General features: G+C 44.0%; 1 annotated feature.

The window, feature by feature from the left end:
• Positions 880 to 1,080: a silencer, noted in NCBI's record as "peak4294 fragment used in MPRA reporter construct". NCBI's record gives its function as "represses an SCP1 promoter by STARR-seq MPRAs in K562 erythroleukemia cells {active_cell/tissue: K562}" and the evidence as "EXISTENCE:reporter gene assay evidence [ECO:0000049][PMID:32103011]".

The following is a 17,469-nucleotide window of genomic DNA, read 5'->3' on the forward strand; positions in this document are numbered from 1 at the left end:
GGAAAGAGAATAGGGGCTTTGCAGAAACAGCCTCTTACTCGCCGTTGACAGGGAAGGAAGGTGGAATACCCACTGCAGTGAACACCTCCAATGGTCTCACTGTGGGGAAGCTGCCAGCCTTCTGCCTTCACAAGATGGATGGAGCCCTAGGAAGGCACTATTGTGTGACGGGCTTTGTATATTAAGTATGTGGTGTTGAGAACTCAGGCCAGCTTGACCAGCCATTTCCCATGGAGGGGCTGCACTGAATTCAGTATAGCAGGTTAGAAAGCAATGGGGGTTTTGTTTTTGTTTTTTCAAGGCAGATACATTCTGTGGGCATTGCCCATGAAATGAAATCAAAACAATATTTCTCTTCTGTTCAGTGCCCAAGAATAAGGCCTGTGTCGTGGTCTCCACAAGATGAGCTGGAGGCTCTGGGGGCTGGTGCCCTCCGCAGTCCTCACACACACCGTTAACTGGGTGAGGTCCAGGTGCCAAGCTCTGTGCTAGATCCTTCACAGGCATTAATTATCGTTCTTTCAACAATCCAGCAGCATAGATGGTGATGAGCTTGAAAGTGGAGGAATGAAGTGTTTTTTAACTTTGTGTCTTTATTATCATTTTCCTTTTATATCAAGACCATTCAGCATGTAAATGGCAGAGCTGGGAGGTGAGCCTACCTCCCTTGCTCCAAAGGCTCCCCTTCTACAATGAAGCAGTGTCTCGAGCAGGATTACCCACCTGCACCTAGTCCCTCCCACTGTAGATGCAGGCACACCCAAGGAGCATCCTGCAAGTGTGAGCCCTGCCCATTAAGAGGCTCTCAAAGAGTGTACCATGAGTGAATGAATGAATGATTTTACTTATGTCAGGAACTGAGAGCTCCTGGGGGGCTGTAGGTTGTAACTTCCTGGTCTGCATTTTATCCCCAAGGTGGATGCCACTACTTTAAAAGTGGAGTGAAAAGTCCTTTCATAGCTGTCCAGGTTGTTGGCTTCCTGGGAGCTGTCCGAGGCGCTGAACGGATGCTGCTGTTAGGAGCGTGATGTTAGTTCTGCGATGGTAAAAGAACAGTTCCTGCTTTTGAGTTTCTGCTCGCCCTGAAAGTTGCCTTCTGGCTGCAGCTCCACAAAGCCAGCCACCTCCCCCCATTTCCATTCTGCCTGATGCTGGCTAATTGCAGAAACTATAATTTGGGCCCAGCTATATGCCTCTGCCCCACCCCAGTGCTGACCCACTCTCCACAAACCATGTTCTGGCCCCAACTCAGTGCCATGCACAAGCTTCTTTGCCAAAGACAATGGGAACCCTACAGGGATTGGTGCAAAGAATCATCTCACAGAATAGTTTGAATGCACCTGGGCATGCCTCAGTGCTGAGGCCGCATAAACCCTCAGCTCAGTGTGGGCTGGACAGCAGTGTCACCAGAAGCCTGCATTTTTCACCTCTGGAGTAAAGGGGAGTTAAAACCTAAATGGAGACTTACAAAGAGGTAGAAATTAATCCAAAACCAAAAGAATAAGAAGGGTCTGAGGTGATGAAGGTGATTCTGGGCAGAGCAAATTACAGCAATGAAGACTCTGAAGTGGGAGATGGGGTAGTTGGGCATGTTTAAGGCAGACAGGAGGTCATGGTGGACCTGGATCCTGGTGATCAGGTAGAAGAGTGGATGGAGATGAGATTGAAAGGCATCCAGGGAACGTAAATGACCATCCAGGGAAGGAGTACACACAGAGAAAGAGCTGTTATTTTAGCTAGAGGGCTGAATTAGTGGTCATGGGAAGGTGTCTAAAGTCATTATTAACATACATAACTATGTTAAAATATTCATTTGTTTGCCTATTTGTTCATTTTCTAGCTTCCCCAGAAGAATGCAGTCTACATGAAGGCAAGGACAATGTCCCTCATGCATCCACCACACCTAGAGTCATACCTGCATGTGGTCCACCTCAATAAATATTTATTGAATGTGGAAGGAGAGCAGCCTACCTGAACATATGTTAGAGACAAAATCATTTTCAGCACACAAGTCAGTCACAGCCTTGAGACACGTGGGCTGATTAATGGGGAAAATGGCAGGGGCAGGGAATCACACTGCAATAAACTTCCCCTAATCCCATCTCTTCCCTTTCAGCTACAGCCCTTTCTTGATTAGAGAAGCAGGAAAAGTTAATATGTGGAGATTTTTCCTCCCCTTCCCTGCCTCCATGAGCACCATTAATAATTTAGTGCAATCTTTCTTCTTATTGGTGCAAGTTATTTGTAAAATGTCATTATCCAAACCATTCACTACATTTGGGGGCATAGCACATGCTGAATGCCTAGTTCCCTTCTGTGGGAACTACCTGCACACAGATCATTACCAAGCACTGCTTGCTCTCTGTAACTGTTAGTGGGTATCACACTTACCCACAGCTTGTTCCAAAGATGGTTCTTGTATTTGCATGTTGCCCCATATGGGGGGAGTTGGTAGAAATCCTCAACATCTTGCAGCCGTGAGTTTTGACCTAATGCAATGTGTAATACAGAATAGAAATCTAATAATAATTTGGTAAATTAAAGAAGGAATGTGTTGATCCATTACGTGCTTTTTTTTTTTTTTTTTTTTTTTTTTTTTTTTTTTTTTTGCCAGGTACTGCACTAGGCTTGGGATTTGGGAGTTGAATATGACCCATTGAAGTTGTCAGTGCAACTCCTACTATAGTAGGAGAGAGTAAGACAAATTCAGGCACAAGTAAATCACTTGGCAAAGCAACTTCCATGTCATAAGAAATGCAGAGCAGTGGCACAAAGGAAAGACCATGAGTATCCTGAGAACCTCGTCTCCTTGTTCTCTGCTCTATTCTCAGAGCTGGGAAATACATGTGGCATGTAAACAGGCATTCAATGAATGCTAGATACAAGAATAAAACTCAAAATTTATTTACCAAAAAAACATATCTGGCATTGAGCAATATCTATCTCAACTATGTCTAACAGAGAACAATTATATAATAGACTTTATTTTTAGAACAGTTTTAGATTTACAGAAAAAATTAGAAGCTAGTACAGAGGGTCCGTGTACACCCCACATCCAATTTTTTGTCCAATTAACATCTTACATTACCATGATACATTTGTCACAATTAATGAACCAATATTAATACATCATTAACTACAATTTTGGAGGATACCCCTCTATTGGAATTCGTTTGATGTCTTCTCATGGTTAGACTGGAGTTATGGGTTTGGGGGAAGAAAGCCACAGAGGTAAAGTGCTTTTCCTATTCTTGATTACAGGAACATCTTTGGCTTTGTAAGAAACTGGTAAAGTAGCTTTACCAATGTGCATTCACAACAGCAGTGAATAAGAGTTCCTATCACATCATATCAAAGGTACATAGTATATGCATGACATTACTGCCTGCCTGCATCAGCCTTGATCACCTGGCTGAGGTAGCGATGGTCAGGTTTGTCTGTTGTAAAGTTACTCTATCTCCCCCTTTCCATTCTATAATCCACCCTATGGATGGATGGCTTCCATCCTGTACTCTATGGAAGGAAGCCACTATGTGTAGTTAATACCTATGGGGTAGGAGTCTTGCTTCTACTCATGGAATCCTACTCATGAAGGCAGGGTATCTGTGTAAATTATTTGAAATTATCCTTCATTGGAAAATTGTCTTTTCTCCTTGTTTATTTATTTGTTCATTCATTTAACCATTAATTTATATCAAAATAGGTTAGTGGAGATTTATTTTATAAGTTGAGTTATAACCCATGCCTTTATTGCTCCTTTAGTTGGCCTCCTTGGCTCAGCTTTGGTCATTAGGAGTTTTCAGTTGGCTCCTGTGCTTTTTGAGATAGCTTTGTCAATGTGTATGTTGTTTTATATTTTGTATGTTTGTTTGTTTTAAGCACTTTCTTCCTTTTTGGCCCTACAAGCTGCTTCAGACCCATCTTGTATATTACCTCCTCCAGTCCCAGAATGAGCCATTTGTTTAAGGATCCCTGGTTACTTTTATTGGAGAGTGGCACTAGAAATGAAGATCTGGACATTAGATGTGTTCGTTGCTACTTGGATGCCACTATTTCCAGGCCTTATCAACTAACAGAGCAAGGGAATATGTGTATGTATGCTAATTCATGTGTATACATATGCCTATGAATATTTTACCTATATCTATATCAAGCTAAACATGAGTTCCATTGATGTCTCCAACCCTAATCCACAATCATGTGGTTCATTCTCAGCTCCTCCTCTTGCACCTCTGTAACATCCACTCCAACAGTGAGCAACCTGGCTTCCCCATCCAACAATCATTTAGTTAATTGCTCAATTCCAGTATACATGTAGAGTGACCTCAAGACTATCATCCCAGACTCCATGGGAAATAATTTCACCAACTAGTGTATAGTGCTTGTATATCTTTTGCCATTAGTCTTACAGACTAGTTGTTTAGATCAGTACCTTTCTTCTCCCAACTCCTTGTTCAGGGTTGATTCGTACAGTTGCAGCCCAATTAGATTCTCTTCTCACATGGTTCCTCCCTGGGATGACAAACCTCTTAAATGGTCTTTAAAGCATTTGTATTTTAAGGTTTATTCTTCATTCTCTTAGGTCCTATGGATTTTGACAAACTTATAATGTCATGTCTCCAACATTACAGTATCATGCAAAATAGTTTTATTGCTCTAAGATACTCTGCACTTCATCTATTCACCATCCCTCTCCTCTTGAACACCTGGAAACCACTCATAAACTTAATATCAATACAGTTTTGCTTTTTCTCAGAATGATATATACCTGGAATCACACAATATGGAGCCTTTTCAGACTCGCTTCTTTTACTATGCATTTAAATTTAAGCCATGTTTTTCAAGGCTTCATAGCTCATTTCTTGTTTTTCTCCCCATGGAATGATATTCCATTGTACGGATATACTACAGTTTGTTTCTCCACCCACCTATTGAAGGATATCTTGGTTGCATCCAATTTTGTTTGACTATAAATAAAGCTGCTATACCTTCACATGCAGGTTTTTGCACGGACATAAGTTTTCAAATCAATTTTGTAAATACCTAGGAGTACAATTGCTGGATCATATGGTCATATTATGCTTGGCTTTGTCAGAAGGTGCCAAACTGCCTTCTACAGCGGCTGCACCATTTTACATTCCCAGCAGCAGCGGATGAGAGTTCCTGTTGCTTGGCAGTCTCGTCAGGATTTGGTGTCACTGTTTTGGATTTTAGTCATCCTAATAGGTGTGTAATGAAATATCACCATTTTAGTTTTTAATTTTCTGATGGAAAATGATGTCGAGCATCTTTTGATATGCTATCTGTACATTTTGTGCCATGTCTCTTATGATATGTTTTACATTTTAAAAAATTAGGTTGTGTTCTTATTGTTGACTTTTTATGACTTCTTTGTATATTTTGTATACAAGTTCTTTATTAGATACATGGTTTGCAAATATTTCTCCCCATCTGTGGCTCATCTTTTCATTATCTTAACAGTGATAATGAAGTTTTTAATTTCAGAGCAGAAGTTTTTAATTTCAGTGCAATTTATCGATTATTTTCTCATAAACTATGCTTTTTGGTGCTGTATCCCAAAACTCATTGCCAAACCTAAGATCACCTAGGTTTTCTCCTGTGTTTTCTTCTGTAAGCTTTATAGCGATACATTTCATTTTTAGACTCATGTTAGACCTTTTTTTTTCAACTTTTATTTAGGTTCAGTGGACATATGTACAGGCTTGTTACATGAATAAATTATGTGTTGTTGGGGTATAGTGCACAAGTGATTTCATCACTCAGGCAGTGAGCACAGCACCCAAAGGGTGGTTTTTCTTCTCTCACCCTCCTTCCAACCTTCCCCCTCAAGTAGTCCCTATTGTCTGTAGTTCCACTCTTTCTGGTCATGTGTAGGCAATGTTTAGCTCCCACTTGTAAGTGACAACTTGTGGTATTTGGTTTTCTATTTCTGCATTAATTTGTTTAGGATTATGGCCTCCAGCTGCAACATGTTGCTGCAAGGGACACACATTTGCCAAGGGGGTGTCCCGGCCTCTCAGTGTTTCCTCTCCTCTTTTTCCAGCTATGAGGCAACCCTGCTGTTTCTGAGAGCTCTACAGGAAAAAACTTTCTGAAGACACCTAGGCTTTTAAACATATGTATGTGTATACATATATAGATAGTTAGATATAGATATAGATATATAACCAGCACACCCATTTAGAAAAGATGACCCAAATTACATCTACATTTAGACCTTGTAGAAACCTTACTATCATGTTAATTATCATGCTAATTTCACACTCAAACTGTTCAACTTTCTCCCAGGAGTTTGAAATGTCCCTTGTGCCCCTTAGCAGACAACTGGCCTTCCCCCCAGCTGAGTCCCTTGGGGAGGGAGAGCTATGCAGCCCTGGGTGCATCCCAGGAGAGGCTGGATTCCTGCCCCGGGGCCACCTGATCTATTTACCTGCTCTAGCAAAGGCAGTTGTAGGGTTTCCCAGACTAATTATCACCTGATTCTGCAGCAGGCACATTACAAGGTGTGGAGCAGGGGCCATGTCATTCCCGCTGTTGTCTTACACGGGCAGGACTCGTAGGCTTGCTGTAGAGCAAATCATAGCAGCTCCGTGGTGAAAGGGCACCATCCTACCCTTTAGAGAACATAGTTGTGGATGGAAAAACAGCCTTGTTCTCAGGAAAATGTCAAATGACTATTCTGAAAGCAAAATAGAAGCTAACTTCAATCTTCAGGAAAATGAGAGATCTGAGATGGAAGTGCCATATTTTGCAAAGTAGACAAATCTTTTCCTCTGAAGCTCCTCACACGGTCTATGTGTGAAACCCAGTGAAACCCAAGCTGGTGCCCTAGGCACGCAAAGCACCTGCCTCAGAATCTACTTTTTGCTGGCTTCTTTCAATCCTCCCAACTTCATTTCTCTTCACAAAACGTGTTCATGGTTTCTGCTCCCAGGACCCTGAATTTCCACTTATCTAACTCCATCAGTCTAACTCGTCTCAAAATTATGTATATTATATATAATTATATATATTATTATAATTATATTTATAATTATAAATATATTATATATGTATATATATATATATATATTGCTTAAACTGTTCCAGCTTTGGCTGTCGGGAGCTATATCAGTGGGTGCCTGTGCCTCTTGGACATACCCCCATCTATGTGTTATTGTTTTTTAACTTTTAAAGTTTTATTTTTTGAGCATTTCTTTGTTTTCTGACACTGTAAGATGCTACAGACTCATCTTTTATATTCTTGGCACCAGTCCTAGAATCAGCGATTTCTCCTAGGTGCCCTGCTTTCTTTACAGGAGAACGGTATGAGAAAGCAGTAACTGGGCTCTAGGTGTGCTCCCTGTGAATACTGATTGCTGTTGGCCTGTTCAGCTGACAGATTAAGGAGACTTATATGTGTATACTGTGTATATGCACCTATCTACAAAGATTTCTATGTGTATACTAACAGTGTATATGCACCTGTCTATAAAGATTTCTATGTGTATACTGTGCACATGCACCTGTCTATAAAGATTTCTATGTGTATACTGTTCATATGAGTATATCTACAAAGATTTCTACATGTATGCTAACAGTGTATATGCATTTATCTACAAAGATTTCTATGTGAATACTGTGTATATGCACCTGCCTATAAAGATTTCTATGTGTATACTAGCTGTGTATATGCACCTACCTACAAAAATTTCTATGTGTATACTAACTGTGTATATACACCTATCTACAAAGATTTCTATGTGTATACTAACTGTGTATATGCACCTAACTACAAATATTCCTATATGTAACCATCTGTATATTATTCTACACATGAATGCACAGGTTCAGTGTTTCCTAGGATTACCTCCATCGCCTCCCAAATAATCTCCTTGCTCTCGCATCCTCATCTCTCAGTCTGCTTCTAGGGGAGCCCAACTTAACCTAGCATATCTCTGGACCTGGGAGAATCTCCAGGCCATCTTCCCAAGGATGATTTGAAGTTCTGTCTCCACCCTTTTCCTGACCTCACTGTTTGGTCTTCTCTGCCCCTGCAGGCTGGTTGGGGGTAGGGCTTCAGGAAGACTCCAGGGTCCCCTTGGGTGGTGATGCCACAGCTGTCTCTTTGGATGTCCCTAGGATATACTGCAGGTTTTCAGCAGCACCCTACAAAGATGCACTTTCTTTATTTGGACAAAAATCTTCTGCCAAAAGACTGCTGGCTTCATATTGGCAGGATGCTCAGCAGCCCAAAAGTGGCCCCAGTTTCCTCATATGCCTTGGCTGTTTGGCTGAGCTCTCCAGATGGCCTTCAGCAGGTCCAACATTACAGGTTGCCTCACTGCATGACACAATCTCTGATACACCCGGACTCTTCTCTTCTGGCTCCTGCATGTCCCTTTCTTCTTCCTGCCTTGGTGACATGGCTCACATTAGTCCTCCTTTCCAGCCCCCATCCCACCACCCAAACCTGCCTACCATCCCCTTAGGTGCAACTGAAACCTTCCCTACCAACCCTGCTCCCACCATGACTCTTCATGGAGCCAATCCTCTTGGTTCCATTCATGAATGGAAAGTAGTTTTGGTCTCCCATGCTAACTTTGATCCATTGGAAGCAACTATGTGGAGAAGAAGTCTGAGACCAGCTTCGAGCTTATTGGTGTCAGTTAGAGGTGTCTGCTACCTGGTGAGCAGTAGCCTAAATGAAGCTATCCCATCCCCCTCCTCCAATTGTTCATGTACCATTTAACATGACTCTGTCATTAAATCATGAGCTCCTTAAGTTGGTCACTCTGTGGTGCATATTTTTTCCTTCTTTGTGCTTCTCTGACTCATGTATCTAGACTTTGATTCACTCATCTGAGCATAAAGCTGAGTTATGAGGTTTGCATTCATAGATATTTTGGGAGTGCATGAAGCAACACCACTATATACACCTGATGAGCTAAAAATGTGTTCATGTCAGCTGGTAGCTTACAGAGTGTTAAACATGCAATCAGATATACAGGATTTTAAACCATTTTCCCTTCTGTTCTTTGAGTTCTCTGTTCTACAAACCTTCTTCTTATGCCATAGCACATTTGATTATGAACCTTCCAGCCAATTTTCCCTAAACTCACAGAGTAAACCAAGAGGGAATGAGCATGTGCACTTGATTCTGATGGGATATAATTTGAGTTGTTCTTTTAATATTTGAGTTTAAGTCACTCGTTGTGCATTGGACTAAATCCAGCAACACCATTGGTCAATGAGATTTGACTTTGTGTTTTATATTGTAAAATAAAATGCAACCGACCCCATGCTTTACTTAAAGAAAGGTTTTAGTGGAAGAAAAATAGTAATAATAAACCAACACATTCTAAAGCCTTTCCTGAACTTCTACTGCAGTTTGTGAAAATGTGATTCATGAGGATGTATTAAATATTAAAACCAGTGTAAGACTTAATCCAAATTTGTAGGGCAGCTTTGCTTAATTTACTGTCTATCACAAAATTTCCTTTGCAGATGACTTTTGTCTGCTGCATAAATAATAAAACAGTGCCGACATCCCTCAATTGCTTTACCATAGCCCAGTATTAAAATTGAACTTGCCGACATTTAATTCTCTCTAGGATGTGTGTCCCCTTTTCTCTTCTCTCTTTCTTATTTCTTTAACTGGGATACATTATAATTCTATCCTGACTTTATGAGTTCAAGTGCAGAAGCTGGAGGCAGTTTTCAAGAGTCAGGCCCATGTTTGTCTTAACCTTGAAACATTTTCTTGGTAGCAAAAGGGTAAGTATTCAGACGGACAAGTTCCTAAGAATACTCAAATTGAAGGTGTCACGGAAACAAGGATTTAGCCCCTTTCCTCAGCCCTCTTCAAAAATCTTGCCTCTATTAATGAACCATATTGCTACTAAATTCAGTTTCATTTCACATTTTCCATGTCGCAGGTCCATCCATCATGCTCCCAGGTGGATGGAGAAAGAGGTTATTGCACAATCAGAGAGTTCTCTCTGCCAGGGAATTTACTGACAATGTTCACTTGTAATTTTCCTCTTATTAGGAAAGCAGTAAAACACTGGAAGCCAGAGGGTCTCCCTGGCTGCAGTTTTTCTTGCCAGGGTGGGTGATTTGATGGAAGCTTCGGGAGACGTGGTGCCTAGGAGTCGCTGATGGGAGTTGGGCGATTGCAAAGGAGGGACTTTAGCAAACCCTGGTTAAGTACATCTTTAGGGAATGGCTGGGTGAAGGGGGCGTTTCCAGGCAGCCAGAGAGGGACCGTGAAGCCTAAGTGCAGAGAGTCGTGCTCAAACTCGCTCATCTCTGCATCCTCAGCGCTCAGTGGAGCACATGGCACGTGTTAGGCACCAGGTGTATTTTTGTTGGATGGGTAAAGAGAGGAAGACCAAAGGAGACATGGAAAAAGGGCAACCCCTTCTCATCTTCCACAGGTCCCACTGCGAGTCAGAGGACAAAGGCGAGGAATGAGGGGAAGAGGTTGCAAAATGAGAGGTTCCCATGGCCTCACAGCTCTCCTTCCCCACACAGCAGGGGTTCCCAAACTTGGCTCATGAAGGTTGAGAATCTGGGTCATCTCAAAGCGAAGAGGACTGCAGGAGGTAGTGAACCACAGGGAAACATGTCTACAAGAATTGGACCCAGTGGAGGAAAGAGAAGGGAATCTTGTGCCTCTGAGCCTTGTGCTTCCAGGCCCCTGAGAGTCCCTGGCCCTCTGCAAACCCCCAGGACAGAGTAAAGACTGGAAGGACAAGCTTTCCCACCACTCCCTCCCTGCAGAGGACTCAGGGAAGATAACCCTGAGTTGTCCTAATTGGCACTCAGCTCCAGTTCTCTCTTCATGTGTTCCTTCTCGCATTCACACTCAGCAGCATTTATTGAGCACATGCTGTGTTCCCAGCACAGTACTAGACACAGAGAATATTAGTGAACATGCCAGTCCCTGTACTCTTGGAGCTGACGACCTTGTTAGGGAAACAACAGATATTGGATAAGTAATGACACATTTGATGAGTATTTCCAAAGGACAGACTACAGTGGGGACTTAGCCTCCAGGTAAGTTCTGGCTGTGGGAAGAGGGCATGGTAGGGGCTATCAGAGGGTCCCAAAGCAATGGAGAATGTGTGAGAACCACCTCGTTCCAGAGAGCACCTTTCTGCTGCATGGAAGGGGCTGGTGAGACAGTGGCTGGGTCCAGCCTGGGATGGAAGTCTCCATGAGGCTGCAGCAGTCGCAGGGTGGGGGAGCCCAGCAGGGTCTCGGATACTGAACTGAGGAACTGTCCAGCCTGAGGGCCAGGTCAGGGCCTCTGGTGCAGTGGGAGAATGAACAGGAAGCTGGTGAAAGCGTCATAGGAATGGGGCCAGAAGGGGAATGGCAGGGGAGGAGGCTGAGCCCCCTCTTCAAGCCTGGGGCAGGAAGATGCTTAACTCATCCCAGAACTTAACTCCTCCCTCACGTCTACCTCTGCATCTGGGCAGCACTTCCAGGACCTACTCAGCTTGGGGGCCCTCCCCTGCCCCCTTCTCGTCCCCATTCTACCCTCGCCCTATCTCAGCTGCTCTCCCTACTTCCTCTGTAGCAGGAGAGACCTGCCTGACTCAGAATTCAAAGCCTAAAATACAGGACTTGATGCAGACGAGCAACTGGCTCCCTTCCAGGGGCCTGGAAATGCCACTTGTTCTGTGTTTTGATTTGTTTTTATTCTTGTTTTAGTTTCTCTTAAGAAAGTAATGCTTTTCTAGGAACATGTTTTTTCCCAGTGACAGGATAGTATGGTGACTGAACACACAGCTTCCAGAGTGAACTGTCTATGTCCTAACTCCAGTTCTGCCACTTCTTACCTTCACCCTTGGGTGGGTGACTCAATCTCAAGTTTCTCTGTCTATACGCTCTATACACTGAGGGATCACAGGGATCTTATTTCATAGCGGGGTTATGAGAGTTAAAAAGGTGAACCCATATACAACTTAAAATAACACCTGGCACGTAACGCATGATGGAAAGTGTTTTCAATGGTTGTTTTCATGAGAACAATGGTCCAGCTCTGAGGTTCATACATTGGCCAGTAGGAATATGGAGCCAGGAGGAAATCTCGCTGACTGGCATCCATGCCTGCTGCATTGAGCAGCAAGTCTGCTCAAGACAAAGCAGGACTGAGAAAATGAGACACCATCCCCCAAACCAAAAAAGAAATATTCCTGTTAGAGATGATGCCATGGGGCTTTACGGGAGTGGCTGAGACCCTGACCATCCTGTGATCTAGTTCTGCTGGAGGTCTCTGTGGTCAGGGATCAGGTGAATGTACAAGCATCATAGAAGCAAACCACAATCAAAGCTCTTTCTATTCTCATCCCTAGATTTGCCTCTCCTCAAATGCCCCTTTTTTTCTTCTTCTTGGGCCTTAAAAATCTTTCTGCAGTAATAACATATGCAAGGAGGTGGGGACAGCATGGAGCATCTCTGAATGCATCCGGGACTGCCTGAGAGCCAACTGCTGGAATGAGATGTTGCTTTGGCTCTGTCTTTAGTCAAATCGTATGACTCGCCCACACTTCCCAGAGGACTACAGATTATGAGCTTCACCATGAAAGGGGACAGTCCTTTGGGGATGAAACAAGGTGGAAAAGTAGAATCTAGGCATTCCAACATCTAAGTCTGAGAAGCGGAAAACGAGGAGGAGGCGCTGGGTGCCAGGATGATGCTCTTAGTCACTTGTGTGCCTTCCCTGCTATGGGACGCTCATTCCTGTACCCCAATAAGAGACCAAATCCAAGTTTCATTAAAATTTCATGAATAGTCCTTGACACAGTCTTCCTTCCACTGTGGCATCTCGAGGGTACCTACATCCTCACCATCCAGTCTGTGAGGTGTGCCTGACCAGACTGAAGGGTCTCAGGACAGGGCCAGGGCTTCTTCTATGCTGTCGCAGGTGGACTTCACATATGGTGTTTCCTGGAGATGGCTCTCCCAAGGCGTTTCTCTAACTTTGTACTCATAATTTGATTTTTATTAAGTAGTAAGAAAATCTCCACATTTGTGCATGACTCAGTTCTGGAAAAATCTAGATCTTCCCATGCAACTCATAGGGATTTCCATATCCAGGAAAGCAGCATCAGGGTCACCCAAGGAGTTATTGGAAAACACAGATTGCCAGGACCTCTGTACAGCCCCACTTCAACTTCGGAGACTTTGACTCTGTAGGTCTGGAGCGGAACTATTTAAACGCTGCTAGGGAGGGTCTAATGCTTGAATATTGCACTTCAACTAGAGAGAGAAACTTGTGGAAACTACTTTCACTGGTGTCCAAGAGATGAATACTTAGTAGGTAACAATATCTTCAAGCTGCTACTGGCATCAATGTGAAAAGCAGCCCATAGAATTGGGAAGAAGAACAGAGAAAGTGTCTAAGATGGCTTTTAGGCCATATCCATTTATCAGCTATCCACTAGCAGCTTCCTAGGGCCCGGGTGCAGGCTGTGCACTGGGGACAGAGTAGGGGGTGGAGGAACAGTATCGCCCTTCCCTGCCTTACTCCTCTTTCTCCCATTTTGAGATTCCACCTGCTCATGATCCCCTCTCAAATGGCCATCTCACACTGGTCATCACCCAGGGCAGCCTCTTCCCAGTCTCTTGATTTTCTCATTCTTTGGTGACAGTGAAGCCCAGGACTCGGGAGTTCAGGATCAGGACTCCAGGATGGCTTGGATTAAACCTGGCCCTCTCTCTCTCCCCTGTGGTGTGGTCACAGGAAAGCTGCTTAATGTCCTTGAGTCTCAGATTGCTCATCTGTGAAACAGATAATTAGAACCTCTCACTGTGGAGTGGCTGTGACTATCAAACGGCCTCACACGGTGTGCAGGGCTGGGAATGATTGGCATGGAGTTGAGAAGTCAGAAACCCTCTGTCATTAACATCCAGTTACCTTGCTGTTGGGCCCCTCATGTCTCAGGCCACTGGGTAGGAGTTTTGGGGTATGAAGACACACAAAATAAACAAGCAACATCCCCTGACTTCAGGTTGCCATGGCCTCTGAAGAAGGGCAACCCATAGGTAATTATGATGTGGTGTCACAAAGAAAGAGAATTAGATGATCCTGAATAAAAGTCCTGAGCCTTGGGCAGCAGTGAGCCATGGGCCAGAAGGATTGCAATGGTAAGACCAGTACAGGAAACATGTAGGGGACTCAAGTCACCATGCAGGGCTTGAGCGTGGTGTGCAAAGGGGGAGGCCAGCTCTGTGGAGTGTTCTATGCCCCAGAGCTCCTCCCAGGGTCTGGCTATGACCACATCCATGCTCAGCTCTGTCTCATGTCTCATCCCACTTCCCCCACCCCTTTCTCCTGAGCAGTGTCCCCTATTAAATCTTGCATCTCAGGGTCTCCTTCTGGAGAATAGGAACAAAGGTAAATGAACCTGAAATCTGGACCTGTTTCTAACATTTAGTAGCTCTGCAGCCTTGGGCAGATCTGTCGAGCTAGGAGGCCATCCTCATTTTCCGTTTGCAGTCTCCAAACTATTTGCACAAATCTTGGCTCTCCTTGATCATCACAATAACCCTGTGCAGGTGTTGCAGTAAAACAGGTCCTGCGGCCTCCAAATACAGAAAGGTGACATGTAGGAGGCTAAGGTTCCAAGCTTCTAAGTTGCAGAGTCAGGGCTCTGACTCAGCCCTACAGTTGCAAGTTCAGCACCATCCACCCCTCCCCTTTCCGCCTCCCTGTCCTAGTCTAGGTGATTGTGAATTTCATGACAGCCAAGTTAAATATGTGAAAGCATGATACACATCAGGGATGTTGGTATAATACTTTGAATATATAATAACAAGAGCAGAGGCAAAAATGGAAGCTATGATGACAATGCCTTCCCATGAAGAGAACAGGAAGCCACGGGGCTGCATTTCCGGCAGGTTCCTCCCAGACTGTGAAATCTCCTTGTACCTGATCTCATAGAGAGATGCTGTGGAAAATTATAGACGTGATCAGCTTTGCAATGATAGAAATGCCTTTGGCACCTGCTTCTCTCCTGAGATTCCCTGAAAAAAAAAAAAAAAAAAAAAAAACCTTAAAGCAAAGAGATCCACGTTTGGGTAATTATCCAAGTAGCCAAAGGGGATCCTAGGTCACAGCCACTCCAACTTTTAGAAAAAGGCCAAGGAGTGAATCAGGACTTCCCATAAACACTTCTCTCTGGGTGCTTTTATACTGTTGCATTTCTTGTTGTTCCTGTTAGGTCTGGTTCTAACTTGGTTCATTAAGAACATAACTAATGAGGCTAAATAGAGACAGCTAATACCTGGGCTTGGTGAATCTGCACACCTTGCCACCTTCTCCTGAACTCTCTTCTCCTTGTTCTCCTGCTCTCCCTCCTCCCCTTACCTTCCTCCTTCTCCCCTTCCCTCCTCTCCTCCTTCTCTAGCACCATAATTTTTCAGTATCCTCACTGCCAACATCTGTTACTGTATTTTTACTAAGGTCCATATATTGTCATTCCAATCACCCTTTATTGTTAATTTAATTACACCCTTTGTACAGATGATCTGCCATTCAGAGAGTGACATAGCTTGCCCAAGGTCACACAAATGCTAAGCAGATAAGTCTAAATTCAAACTTGGTCTCCAAACCTACCAGGTCCACAATTCTACAAATTCTGAAATCCACCCGTCACAATGAAGACAGCCTGGCCCTGATCTGGTCCCATGTAGAGGAGAGCTTGCAATGCAGTGGGAAGGCTAGCACTGTCCCTTCTTACTCCCCTGCAAAGACTTTCCCAATTGTTGCAGGCTTTCTTCTTTGTCGTGACTGACTCTAGGCCCCAGGACCGAGAGGTCCAGCAAAAGCCTTGTCCCAGATGCATCCCTGAAGCTTGTCCACACAAATCCTTTGATATAACAGCGCCTTGAAGGGCTTTATATGGGCAACAGTCCACTAGGGGAGCTCCCAACAGCACTGTTGATGGTGGGAAGACACTGAAGAGTGCTGAAGAGCTTGTCTGGAAAGGGCTAGAGGAATCGGTGCTGTGGTGGGCACGCGGGAACTCAATGACACTCTTGAAAATGAAATGAGATGCTGGTGTGGGAAGCTCCCAGCTGACGTTCCAAATCGTGGGTATAGTGTGAACCTTTGGAATAAATGAAACATATGCACAGGTGAATACAGACATGGACTAACATAGACTTCTAGAAGAAATTACTAAGAACAAAAACAAAAACACCTGCCACTCCTAGGGAGAGCTTTCTTTGGGGAGAAGAATCTAAGGCGAGATGGGACCCTGGGGTCTGCATTTGTCTTTTCTAGAGTCACAATAAAACAAAAGTAAAATGACCTCAAGAAAGTCATTTTCTTCCTCTCACTCTCTTGTGTGGGCTGCTGGCTTCAGCCTGGAGTTGTGGGGTTTGATGGGTTCAGCCCAGAGCCCCAGACACTCTCCCATCCGTCTGTTTCTCAAATCCTCCAGCCCTTCTACCCCCCGCCCCTGGCTTTGCCTGTGCCAAACCAACCGTTTAGGGTGCTCTTCATCTCCCTGGTTGCTTCCTGCCCTGCAGAGACACCCTCGAGCTTCAGTTGTCCCCTGCCCACCTGACCTAATAGCCAGTTTCATCACTGTCCCCGCACCCTGTTTCCCTCTTACTTCTCTCCATATGTGTAAGTTCATACGCCCCTGTCCGCTAACTGTTTATGACCTTTTCCTCTCTCTGTGCTCCACAAGGATAGGACTACCTTTGTTTCATTCATTGGTGCAGAGCCAGAATCCAGCCCAGCATCTGGCACCAGGGGGTCACCTGCAAACACTCCTTACATCAATGAATTAAGGGATGGCAGGAAGCATCCCAAGCACAGATCAGGATGCTTCTTAAATATTCAGCTCTGCAGCTTCTCATTCCTGGTTTTCAGACCTTTCCCTGCCTTGACTTTTAATTCCCCCATCAGGGCGGACAGAATGAAAAGTCTTCTGACACTTGGTTTGTGGTATAGCCAGAGCTCAGGGGCTTTGCACCGCATGGAGTCCGGGTTTGAATCCTGCTGCTGCCACTTGTCCCAAGTGCTGCTCCCCATGTGTGACTGGACTGACTGCATCCATGAGCTCAGTTTCTCTTCTGTCAAAAGGGCTCATGCACATTTTCTCAGTTTGTTCTCACCGTGAGGTAAGCAGACCTGCAACCATGTCTAGTCACATTGTAGGGGGAGTAAGACTGACAATATATTGATATGCTCAAATGTATCATTAAGATTTAACTATGGGAAGGAGGTATCTGTCATTATAAAAATAACAAGGCAGAAAAATAGATTATTAGCTTAACATTCACGGGGAAAGACAAAAGGAAATTTCTAAGTTTTGCATTGTTTTGATCACAAGCGTGTATGCAGAACACTTCCATAGACACCAGCCAGCCTTGTGACAAATAGCATCACCGCTGAGAACAACTGGATGATCAAGAGCAGCTAAGACCATCCATTCTTAAAAA

The sequence above is a fragment of the Homo sapiens genome, chromosome 20 (genome assembly GCF_000001405.40).
Source record: "Homo sapiens chromosome 20, GRCh38.p14 Primary Assembly".
Classification (NCBI taxonomy): Eukaryota; Metazoa; Chordata; class Mammalia; order Primates; family Hominidae; genus Homo; species Homo sapiens.